The 12,692-nt window shown below is 37.3% G+C and overlaps 1 protein-coding gene across 3 annotated transcripts in view, besides 1 other annotated feature; it reads right to left on the minus strand.

Moving 5' to 3' along the window:
- Positions 1-742: 742 nt before the first annotated feature.
- FEZ2 (fasciculation and elongation protein zeta 2) overlaps positions 743-12,692 on the minus strand; it is a 45,911-nt gene continuing 33,961 nt past the window's right edge. The window contains exons 6-9 of one of the 3 annotated variants that reach the window (NM_001042548.2): positions 9,270-9,350; positions 6,923-6,998; positions 4,168-4,233; positions 743-1,664 (exon numbers count right to left, since the gene is read on the minus strand). In NM_001042548.2, coding sequence (NP_001036013.1) covers positions 1,648-1,664; positions 4,168-4,233; positions 6,923-6,998; positions 9,270-9,350 — 240 coding nt within the window. In that variant the 3' untranslated portion in view covers positions 743-1,647. The remainder of the gene's footprint in view (positions 1,665-4,167; positions 4,234-6,922; positions 6,999-9,269; positions 9,351-12,692) is intronic. The other 2 variants (NM_005102.3, XR_244972.4) reach the window with 2 other exon arrangements.
- Positions 9,563-10,762: an enhancer, noted in NCBI's record as "P300/CBP strongly-dependent group 1 enhancer chr2:36788221-36789420 (GRCh37/hg19 assembly coordinates)". NCBI's record gives its function as "activates an origin of replication core promoter dependent on BRD2, BRD4, P300/CBP, MED14 and CDK7 cofactors, with strong dependence on P300/CBP, by STARR-seq in HCT116 cells {active_cell/tissue: HCT116}" and the evidence as "EXISTENCE:reporter gene assay evidence [ECO:0000049][PMID:35650434]".

Raw genomic sequence — 12,692 nt, forward strand, 5'->3', positions numbered from 1 at the left:
TATTTTCATACATTTTAGAAGCATCAATTTAAGAATGAGCTATAAACAGACCAATGTTGAATCTCCTTTAAAAAAATATATCCCCCTAAGGACTTTCTACTATATCATATACCCTTTAAAGCTACATTTCTTCAGTACAAGGCGTCATTTTTACAAATTCAAATTAATTTAAATTATTAATATTACTGTGTAAGTACATGTATCTGGGGAAAGGGCCAGTAAGTTCCAAATAAGAACATTAATAAAACAAGGAAACCATCTCGAGTTTCTCATACCCCTAGAGATGATGGCTGAAATGCCAAGCAGGCATTAAACTTCAAACCGCGCCCCTGCCTTTGCAGTCATGGTGTCTCAGTTGCTGAGTGGAGTGAGGAATATGTTAGCCCTGTTTGTTTTGCTCACAGGTGTTTAAGTGGAATTGTGAAAGCCGCCTGTAGCAGGTCCTATATAGACTCTTAATTCATTCATGTCGTCTATGGGAGGGGTCTGCATGGCTGTTTTTGAAATGTCTCACAGCCCCAGAAAAAGAGCAGGACTTACTTCTGTCATTCCACAGCAGCTCAGCATACTCTAATAAACGTCCTCCTCTTCCCCTTCGTAGCATTCTGGGACTAATCAGGGTTTCATCTGCTCACATATTGTAGCGATGGGTTCTGTGTGGAATTAAGGGAAAGAATCTAGCACTGTAAGGAAAAAAAAAATACAACACAAAACTCCCAAATATAAGGCTCTCAAACATGTATTTTTACTTCTTAAAAAATTTATTAAATGCCATTGATTTGACTGGAACCAGCAAAAGTGCTCATGATATTGATGAATCCATAAGTAGCTGTATCTAGAATTCATACTTAAGAAAAACACACAGGCATGAATAAAATAGGACACAGTAATGAGAATGGGCAGTTCTGCAGTGTACACTTTCTCAAGCACCTCAGAGGACACACACTTAAAGTACAATTCTTCACAGACACATGAAGCAGAACATTTGAAAATCAAAACTTAAATACAAGATTCTAAAAGTGAATGGCAATTTAATGGTTAAAATTTGACCAGTGGTGAAACAAGCAGCAAGCTACAAAATCCATCACCACCAACAGTTTCAATGTTAGCACTAAGTATTAAACCAAAGTAATGCATATTCTGGTTTTGCTTCTTCAAGAACAGCCCGTTTATTCTGTTTCAATCTCTCTGAACAATACTGGTAGGTAATAGTTACACTGACAATTCTCACAAAAAAACAGTGTTGGTTCTTGCCATCACTGAATTTATAGTATAAATCTCCCAAGGCTTTAATCTAGTTCATCAGTGCAGTTTAGATAAGAAAGCCATAAAAACAAATGGGCATACTGTCAGTTAATGAGAAATACAACTGCACATGCACAATTAATATTACTCTCTCTTAATCTACTAAGAGAACAGTTTATTAGTAGATTTAACAAAAACCATCTCTAGAATTCAAAATAGTGCCCATATTTCCGTTGGTTCTATAATATAAAGAATTAGTGTAGTCAAGATCTGTTAATACTGAATCAAACCCAAGTTCAAATGTGCTGAGTTTCCAATAGCAAGAAGGGTAATGGTAGCCAGCTCTCAGAATAATGCTGTCGGAAATCTAGCTTGGAGCCCACCGCAGATAAAGTTGCTGCTCTATGTAGGACACAGAACTAGAAGAAAAAGAGAACTTTTAGCTACAAATGTATATTTTGTATACATTTACACAAAACATACATTTTACATGTACATTTAAAAACCATTAAGTAATGAGAACTAAATGTTAATGCAAAGATCTATGTAGCAATTTTTTAAAGGTTTTAAGAGGCTATACCCAACAAGGATGAGTTCTCTCAACACACATTAGAATTTCCCAGAAATGAGATACCAAAAGGCCATGTCTCTTAGGGTGCCACTTGGAGATAGAAGCCCCTAACATTCGCCCTATACCATGAGGCTTGTGACACAACAAACAGGATCCCTAGGGAAGTCAAAGAAGGGTGCAAGTTTCTGCACACATTTTTATTCCTAACTAGCAGCACGGCAGCAGCCACGCGTACATTACTTCAGAATCAGCCTTGGGTACTACTGTCAAGGCAGCAGTGGCGGCAGGCTGCAGTGGGGTCATTAGGCAGGTGCGAGAAAGAGAAGCTCAATTAGCCCATACAGTGCCCACCCTACTCCCTTTTCTCAGGCCAAATGAGACCACTTTTCTACCTTCTTTCACTTCTGACATTTGCATTAAAACTAAGTGGTGTATTTAGGCAGCCAAGCCACACTCTCATCTGTGTTAAAACAACAACAAACCACCCAAAAAAGGGGAAGGAGTATTCTCCCCTTGAGCAATATCCCCCTCCCGGGCAAAGTGTCGTATTATTGGTCCCCAAGGAAGAGGAACAGTTAACCAGCTGTGAACTTTCAGGATGGGTGGAAAAGAGCATTTTCAATGACCCGACTTCCCCACCTTCCCACACACATTTGGGTAAATACATCTCCACATTGCACTCCCGTCTTCATTTTCTCTGACTACAGTCTCCACTGTAGTCTAAATCCTTGCTGCTTTTCCACCCAGTCCTCACAATACAAAGCCAAGACAAAACCACAACACATGCACACAGACAGCTCATCAGAAGCAGGTACAGTATAGATAGAACTGGGCTTACAGACAGGAGCCAGCGGCCCGAGCATGAGGAGCAGAATTAGATGGGTGCTGCTTCCCTAAGGCATGCGGTATAGGTAGGTTCACAATTATAGTCCTAGGTTTTCAGAGTAAAGAATTAAAAATCATTTTTCCCCAGAGGACTCTGTTCTTTGGGTCATAACATCCTTCCATGCAGTTAAATGCTAAAATAGCTAGAGAATGCTTCAGAAGCTCATTCTATCTCTGGCCCTCATAGAGGCCTAGGAACCCGATATAATTAAAATTTAAGACATGTTCTTTATGTTCGTCTCATTCCTGTTTCACATCTAGAAGAACGAACCTCAGAACAATCCAGCTTTCATACCAATGCTAGCACAACACAAAAGCAAACAAAGATGTCAGGTATTAAAAAAAAAATTTTTCAGAATTTTATAGGGAGAAAAAGTCCTCCATCAGAAAAAAAGCTTATTTTTTAAAATGATGTCAACTCAGTCTGTTCTACTCCAGTGTCAACCCACTAGTGTCTAGCTCATGCTTCTTACTCTCACCGCATCAAGACTCTTACAAGTGAAATGTGTGATTCACTTTGAGCACCCTGTGTATACTACTGAGGTTCCCCTTTCATGACACTATGGTTTAAGAAAAGACCATCAGAGGTTTCTAATGTCTCAGAAATCTTCATCTTCCTTGTGCTCAGCTAACTTTAATGGAGAAGAGAGAGAACCCAGAGAAGAAGACTGTTACTAGAAGAGGATTGCTCTCAAAATTTGATCAAACACTACAAAGATGCATTTTGTGATGCTTTCAAAATCTGGTCCCTGAATACCTGCTACTTTAAAAAAATATTTCATCGTAAAGTATTAATTTTGCCTCTAATTAAGTTCTTCCGTCCCTTCTTTATCATCCAAACTTTGCTCTTTTCTCGGCAAAGCAACTCAACCTCTCACTCTTCTTTTGCCTCATCAATATTCCCACCCTGTGTGAGCCTCACCTTGCCTCTAAGATTTGTGGCTGCTTTTTCACTTTCCTGGGTTTATGCAAGTCCATTCTTTTTATTTCCCCGCTTCCCTCCCTGTGTCTTACATCAGTCCCTTTCGTATTCCCTTTGGCACTGTTCACAGATGTGACTCTTCCTTCCTTCATCCGTCCTCACTAATGATCTGTCCTCCTTTCCACTGTCCTCAAGATGACAGAGACCACCCTTCTCAAATTTCCCAGTGCCAATCTGCCAACATCTGATACCCACATGATTATGGTGCCATCTCACTAATTTTCTTCTACTACCTCTCTTGATGTTTATAGTTTAACTGTGGAGATTATTTCCAACCCAGAACCTCCAATAAAACTTAAATTATATAAAACCATGATATATAATGTTGGTAGAAGTCAGTCATGTAGCTAATCCTCACCCTGCATAATAAGATTAATGAAAGTTGTGCATTGGGAAGTTACTGTCTAATGTATTAGCAAGGCGATGTATTTACTGACTAATCCAAACCTCCCAGCCATCGCACCTATACCATTATAAAACTCACCTTTCAGAATATAATCAGTTAACAAGCTCGGAACTTTTTCACTGTCCTCCTTCATGGCACGAAGAACTGCAAAATAGAAGAGGGGAAAAAAGACAACAATTAAAAATTTAGATCAAAAATATTATTTAATTTCAATCATTGTGGCCTTAATCTTCCTTAATTATAGGATATAACTGACTCATACAAATTATAGGTGATTTTCCTGATAAGGGGATACAACAATAAAGGCCCAATAATTTATTTTAGTGGAGTAAGTCCACAAGAATTTATTTTCGGTAAGAATATCCCACTTACCTGAGAGTTGCTTCCCTGATTTAAAATTTCCAAACAGTGGAGACAAAAAAAGAGGAACTGGGTTATTTACAAGGAGCCTTCGCTCTGTAATAATACCGGAAAGTGGGTTACTATAATGTGCACCTCAATGAACTCTGTGCAGCAAGAAAACCTCAGTGCTGCAGATCAAGCAAACTAGAGAAACTCTTAAAGAAATGGACAGCTATACCCTCCAACAAGCGTATCCTGTCAGACTCCTTAGAAACTTTCAAAGAAAAGACCCAAATGAAGAACAGACTTCCATGAAGCAGCATCGGGCATCTGCCTGGCTGTTGCCTCCTCTGCACTAGGGAGAAACCTGGGAGAATTAGCCTCATTCTAATTTGACAAATTTATCTTCTAAGTAAAAACTAAAATAGAAAAAGCAGCCACCTAGTATAACGTTTTTCTTTTTTAAGCTAGACCATTCAGGTTGAGATAAACTCACAAATATTATACTTTAACAGAGATTGCCAACTCAAATTTTCTCCAAAGCATCCTGGTAAAAATATTTCACTGTTTTTCCCCACCAATACGACAAGGCAAAATAGTGTAACTGTCAAATCAGCCTTCCTGGGTTTAAACCCTGGCTCTGCCACTTCCTAATTGTGTGACGCTGAGCAAGCTACTTAACCACTTTTGCACCAAGCTCTTCATCTGTGAAATGAGAATAATAATTAGATTTAATCTCAAAGGTTTGTTATGAGGACTAAGCTACTAATTCAGATATAAAGGTCATATCATAGTGCCTGGCACATAGTACATGCTATGTATTAACTGTAACTAACACTACTCAAATTATTTAAATTTTTATTAACTATTATTATTGCACCCAAAATCCCCTAATAGCTTTTATCAGGAAGACTATATATCCATAAACACTGTGACTGTCTCCACAGGGCTCTTCTTTTGGAAAGAAAAGGAGCTTTGGACCCAAATATGTCCAGAGATTCCAAACTGTGACAACCTATAAAGACATCTCGATGCTGGAATTATGATGACTTTAGTTTGACCAATGAAGTATTTGTTCTTGATCTGAGAAGCTGAGGCCTGCCAGTAATTCCTGGCTTATGAGCAATATTTATGTTCCCTTCTTTAGAGGGCTACCATGTTCAGTATTTCTGCTTCCAATCATGTTTAAAATTTTTTCTAACTTCTAAATAAAATCACATACCAAAAACCAGCATCATTAAAAGTATAATTGCCTGGGAATTAAGAGATCCAGCTCTGTAACTAACCATCCCCCTGTGTGATCTTGGACACATATAACTTAAGTTCTTCCTGAAAATAAGAGGGCTAGCTACCCAGTTAATCTCTTGATTTTTTATTTCAGACTGGCTGGCATCACTTGATTTATCCATATTTAAATATAAAATTTTTAAAGAATTATTCACCAAAGGAAAGAATAAAAGCTCCAAGTTAGCAGGCAGGGAGCTAAGAAATAAGACACTTGCTTCTACTCTTAGGTTTTCCTTGCCCATTCCTCTTAAATTTCCAAAATAAGTATCATCATCCATACTCATCCATGTGATGCTCTTTCATTTGGTTCCCCCCTAATTAGCAAGTATCATAAATATTTACCATAACAAAGACCTAACAGATCAGCAAATTCAATCCCTCCATTTTAACGGCTAATTGATAGTAACTTAGCCAAAATCATACATATATTAATCTATTTACTGTGAGGTAAATAGAACAAATATTTTTTATCCTAGTTTTTCAATGTAAGCAAAAGAGAGTAAGTAACTTCCAAGGATATCCCTGAAAATAACAGGGATAGAACCAGAATTCAAGGCTCATTTGCGGCCATCATAAGAGATACTCAATATCATGTATATTTAAATCTAACAATTTTTTTTTTAAGGCAAGCCCCTTGAAGGTGCATTATCTTTGTCTGCTTTGTTCACTAAAGTATCCCAAGTGCCCAGATCATGGCCTGGTACAGAGTAGGCCTTCACTAAATATTTGCTGAATGAATGCATGTTCTTAAAACATCACTGTCAATTTATGTTCTACCTATAACTACTACCTCGGGTTCTACATTCATAAGAAATAAAAAGTGTTTACCGTAAATCTTTCCTATTCAGTTACTGACAATCATAGATATATAAGATCCATAAGGAATTTTATTTATGATAAATGGATATGTTCTTAAACATGTAAGAGATGATGGAGATTTAGGTTATGCTTTTTCCCAAAATTTTAGCTCATAAATATTTCACAAGGTAAGAAAAACAGAAAAAGTACAAATCAACACTAGAGTTACTGTTGTATTTAATGTCACAGCCATTTTTGGCTTCATTCTTATAAAAATAAACAATTATATGCATCATTTACATCCTAAACTGACAAAACACTAACAACAAAATCAGCCAACTAAAGTCAGGTGTTTACCAATCAGCAAAAGGAAATCAGGTAATAGTTTCATTTTGTCTTTGCTCACTTTTTGTTAATATTTGAAGATCTTCAACAGACGGTGGTCCGTTTTTTTTCTCATAAGGAATGACTGTAGTCAAATACTGCCAAGTTTAAAAAAAAAAAGTGTCACTTAAATCGGAATTACCTTATCTGCAAAAAATTTGATACTGTTACTAGAAGGTCTATCTGATAATATAAAACACAAGCTACTTTGGTAATGAAAACACAGGTATTGTATGGGAATAAAGTTATCTTACTATCTCAGATGGAGCTCATTTTTTTTTGCCCACCTCTATTTGCTTCATACAAACCTAATGTCAACAGAAACAACCACCTTTTTGCATTTCAGTTATTGAAAATTTCATAGGACTAAGTCTGAGGATGGTTTACTCAATTTGTTCATTTTTAAAGTGAAGTATTATCTCACATTCTACTTGCATATTTTTCAACACATTTTAAAAATAGCAATTTAAACTAAAAACATAGTTTTAACAGTTCTGCACAATAAAGTAATTTCCAACAGCAAAATAATTCTGTTTCAGACCATTTTTATTCTGGTTGAACAAATGGTCCACATATATAACATGACAACTTTGAAAAACACACACTAGCTTCTTTCAGAAGCTAACAAAGACACACTTAAATCGTTTTAGAAATGCGTTACTATTATTTTAAATTATTGGGTAAGTCATTGTAAACGTTTTTAGGCATTAAAGGAGAAAAGTTAAAGTAGAGAATGGCCTAAGGGGAAATGAATAATGAAAATTAATGTCTGAAATTGAGATAAACTTCCTAGTTCACTACTTGTAAAGGCTCACAAGTAACAGCGCCATGTCTTTTAACTAATCCCATGAAAGCATAATCCATAAATGATTGTCCAGATTTTCCTGTTCTTACCATCCCACCAAAAAAATAGTTCCGTGCATTTCACATATGCTCATATAGAAAGCCAGTGGTTTTTACCTGGAATCTCTTAGCTCCACCCATTATTTAACCTCGTGCCCTAAATCTCAGCTCTGTGGCTAATCCTCACTGAGTGATCTTATCCTGCCCATAACTGAAAAACAGGATAAAGAAAGCTGCTTTACAGTAACTGGATCCCTAAGTCCAGAAAAGTGGTAAAACTGCATAGTTCAATCTCTGAGACACGTTAAGTGTCCCACCGTCTTTTTGACGTAGACTTCTTGCAGGTGATGCCCAATTGTATAATCGAATGTTTCTTTGTAAAGAACAACAACAACAAAAGGCCAGAAATGATGTCCTCCTGGCTTCACTCTGCATGTGTGAGGCAACCTGGAGAGGCACCAGGCGGCTGCACCCTGGCCCGCTCTCTGGCTACCTGGCTGCATCTTCAGGCCTCCCTGCTCCACTGACAGTCTGGAAGATTCCTTGTCTTCTTTTGAGGTTGAGAGAGGTGAGAGGCAACGGAATGAAAACAAAAACTCAAACATCCCTTCATGGAGCTCATTGATGAGCTGCAAATGTCAGTGTGAGGCTTCCCTCTTTAATAGGAATGATCTCCCTTCCGGAGAAACACTTAACTACCTGCAGTAAAAACTCCAGGCATTTGATCTAGGCGTTCTTTTGCTAAACTTCCTACAAGCTACATTTTGTACACCTTCTTAATCTGCACAGAAGAGCTAACTTAAAGACTTTTCTTTTTCAAGGTGAAAATTTCATATAGTGAAAGGTAATTTTAAGCATACCCATTAATGTGAATGTTTCCCATGTTCATGATATTCCTTCAATCATTATACAAAAATGTGAATAAAAAGCAAATTGCTAGATACTTGATTATATATTCATATCTGTGTATAATTTTGTATAAATAATGTCGCATGCCTCGTTTGGCAGACAACTGAGTTGGCTGACTATGCAATACACCTTAAAAACACATGAATTTCATTTAAAGGAGGTAAGATACACTCTATACATATTTTTGACCTAGAACTCTAGTCTCAAACATACCGACATCTGGCCTTCTTCCCCCAAAAATGACATCTTGCGACTTAGACTTTTAGAATTAGAGTCACATATTTTAGTTTAGTTATTTTCACAAGCAGATTTTCTACACATGCAATACATTATGTTAAAATGTTAATATTTGTTTAAAACTAAGAGTGAAAAATGGAGCTATAAAACACGTCTTAAGAATGCATTTAATCTATTGTCGAATTTGAAAAATGCTTTTTCCTCAAAGGGAAATTCTGTTCATTATCAAGACTATAAATATAATGAACTTTTATAATAAACTTTTATTTCTCTCGTTAAGCAATGGTCTTAGTAAATTAGTAAACTACCAGCTTTCAGGATCTTCACTTACACAGAAAATGAAAAAGCAGAGAATGAGGAAAATAAGGATAACCGAGCACCTGTTTCTCTCCACCTGAATTTCCAAAGGTGTGGCGGAGGCCATTCTGAATGACATTTGAGATCCCTTCCATGCTGAAGCGCTAAAGGCGGCAATATACGGCCCAGAAGAAAAGGACAGAGAAAGAAGTTCAAAGTCTATTAGTAAGAATGTACCATGATGACTTATGTGCCCAAGAGGCAAGCAGTTAGAAAATGCCACTACTCATCCAGATAAAGCACATAAACCCATGCTCTTTTTAAAATGCTGTTGCTTCCATTTCTTTGCAAGTTAAATGCAAAAGCAACTGTTTTTATGCTACTATATTCATGCAGGCATTTTTCTGATGTAGCTAATTGTTCCAATGTAAATGTTGTAAGTTGTACACATATTTGTTCTATACAAAATTTACTGTGTAATTTTTAAGATACTTTTTGATATTATTTACCTACATTTTATCAGAAGTCTGAAAACTTAAGATGAACAGTATGCGTATTTTCAGCCTAAGTTTGTATAATTCTACCATCAGTTTGGAGAACATTAACATAACATTTAGCAAATGAAAATGCTGTTACTTGGAGAGCTGATTATTGCTTCCCACTCACTCTTCGGGCCACCTGCCACTGCCTTGGTGCAGAAATGCGAACTAGAAGATGGCATACGCTTCCTGGAGAGCAGAGTGGATCCCATGTGCCAGCCAGGCCCCCAAAAACTTCTCCAAAGACTTTTCCACTCCGTTTCTAGGAAACAATTCTACTTTCTTTCTCCCAGCAACCTCCAAGACTTCCTAGAATTCTTTGTACTGAAAAGGGAGTATTTTTTTCCTAAACAACTTATCTTGATTTGTAACCAGTCTACAATGTCATCAAGCATAGTAAAAAGCGTCTGGTGGCACCTCTATGGCGGCTGAGTCAAAGGAGTGAGATGGATTCTTACAGCATGACTAATTAAGGGGAAAGGCTTCGTGAAAAGGAAGTGAAGGCCTGACTCACTTGATGGTTCCTTCCCCTGGAATTTTATAGAGGAAATTTAAATCAGTAAACACATTTGAGGAGTCAACATAAAGAATATTTTACCAGGCCCCAAGGGGCAGAAGAAAGGAAACCAAGGGAATGGTCATCAAGAAATACATATAGTTTCATCCAGTGGTTCTCAAAGTGTAGTCCAGGGACCCCCTCCCACCCAACTCCTGCCAAGAGGTCCCTGAAATCCTCTCAGGAGTTCAGGAGTTCAAAAATGTTTTCTTAATACTACTAAAATATAAGTTGTCTTTTTTACTCTCATTCTCTCATGACTTACAGTGAAATATTCCAAATGACAGACTGAATGCAGAAGCACATTTGTGAATCTAGCTGTCTTTAATCAAGCCAGATGTTAATGAGATTGACAAAAATGCACAGCAATGATATTTTTTCATGATTTTGTAAAATATTATTTTTCATAAATATATGCTCTTTATAATGAATTTATTTTTGGTATTTTTCATGAATTTATATTTTTAATTTTATCACTTTTAATTTGTAACATGGCTAATATTAAGTTTCTTGGGGTCCTTGATAAATTTTAAGAGCGTAAAGAAGTCTTGATAACAAAAAGCTAAGAAATGCCAACAGGCTGAATCACTGAGGGAGCTATGTGCTTCTGTATCAGTCATGTAACTCTATGGAGTTACTGAAAATCTGAGTTCCAAATTTTACTACCTTACAGGAGACTGTACAAATATGCCTCTCCTCCTAAACCATCCAACTTCCCTACCTAGCCTTTCCCAGATTTGCAAGCCAGTTTTGCTTCAGCAAGAATCAAATGTCTAGTCAAGATACTTTGCTGACTACTCTTCACTTCACTGAAAGCATAACTATTAGCTTTGATGGAGGAGGCTAGTTATAAAACAAAAACCTACAGAAAACTATTTCTGTAAATTTTTCCAATGCTATCATAATTCATTCATATTTTTTAAGCAGATTATCAAATGAGATAACATCTTAGGCTTCAGAGTATATAATAACAATTATGAGAAACTATTCTCAAATAACCAAGTCAGTTTATTTTTTAAATTATTTTCATAAAATATATTTTCTTTCAAATGTGACAAAGAGAAGAGTACTTGTTTTTAAGTACTTAGTCTATATTACCTGGCTCCATTATCTATGAGCATGTTTAAGCTAGATACAAATTCATAAAATCTAAAGCTAGATAAAAAGTTTCAGAATCCACCTATCAGGAAACTAAGACACACTTTCTATTTGGAAAGCACATTCCAAAAACACTAGCTTTGTTTTCGCAATCAGAAAGCCAATTCCTGTCACTAGAAAAAACAAAAGTTGATGCAGTTTCAATTTCGTAACATGCAGATGTAATTTAGGTTTTCTTTATTAAATGTGTGGTTGCAGACATTACTGAGCCATCTCAACTACTGACAGCCTGACTACTTGTGAAAGATGGCTTTTGTGCCACCAGAATTTTAGGCTTAGGGGAAATTAGTGAAAATGCAACCCCATGGGAAGCCAAGGTAACCTGGAAAAACAAAACTAACAGCTGATGCCAGTGAAAGAAGGTAAAGTAAGGAATGCAGCAGAACCTCTGTCCTTGCTGCTGATGGCTGCTGAGTCAGTGGCTGCAGCTGACAAGACCCTACTGTCCCCAGCTCTTTCACTGGCAATGAACCAGGGAAGCAATGTGCAGCATGTACAGTTCAATCGCCTCTTGATCCATTGGAAAATTACAGAACAAGGAAATCAGAAGGTTCTACAGGAAAAAAAAGAAAAAAAAAAAAAACTAAAATCTACGTCTGAGAACGTGCTCCTATCAAACGCTTCAGTTGCAATCAACTCCTACCTCCCCAGAAGTCAGGCAGCATCAATATTCTCCCTCCACTGCATTTCCAAACTCTCCCTCTCTACTAGCTCCTTCCTGACAGCATCCCGAAATTCTCAAACCCTCAACCTCTTTCCTTTCCCAAGGTTTTCCTGAAACAGCTCTTCCCAACATCATTTATTTGATCTGGAAGACCACGGCCACTTTTCAGATCTCTGAGACATCCAGGAATCCCTCCTCCCTGAACCGCTTCCTTGGATTCAGAGACACCACACTCTCCCAGATTTCCCTCACCCCAACCCTCCTGCTCTCTAGTTGCTTCTTCTAAGAGGGGCCACTTTCTTCACTCATCCCTTAAATGCCAGTGTTCCCTAGGATCTTGTGCCTCTTTCTTGACTCACCTCTCAGATGCTGCTGTGCCTCTGGATTCTGTCCCTATTTAATTATCATGCACCCCCTCTGGGTATTACCAATCAATAGCTTCATCTTCTGCTTCCATAAATTGATAGCTCCACTTTACTAAGATCAGTAAAGTGCTAAGAACAGAGACTGGCACATGGCAAAGCTCAGTACATGTTAGCTATCTTTACTGTAATTTCCCTGAGCTTCACTCTGCATGTTTAATGGCCAA

This window comes from Homo sapiens, chromosome 2, assembly GCF_000001405.40.
Source record: "Homo sapiens chromosome 2, GRCh38.p14 Primary Assembly".
NCBI classification, from domain to species: Eukaryota; Metazoa; Chordata; class Mammalia; order Primates; family Hominidae; genus Homo; species Homo sapiens.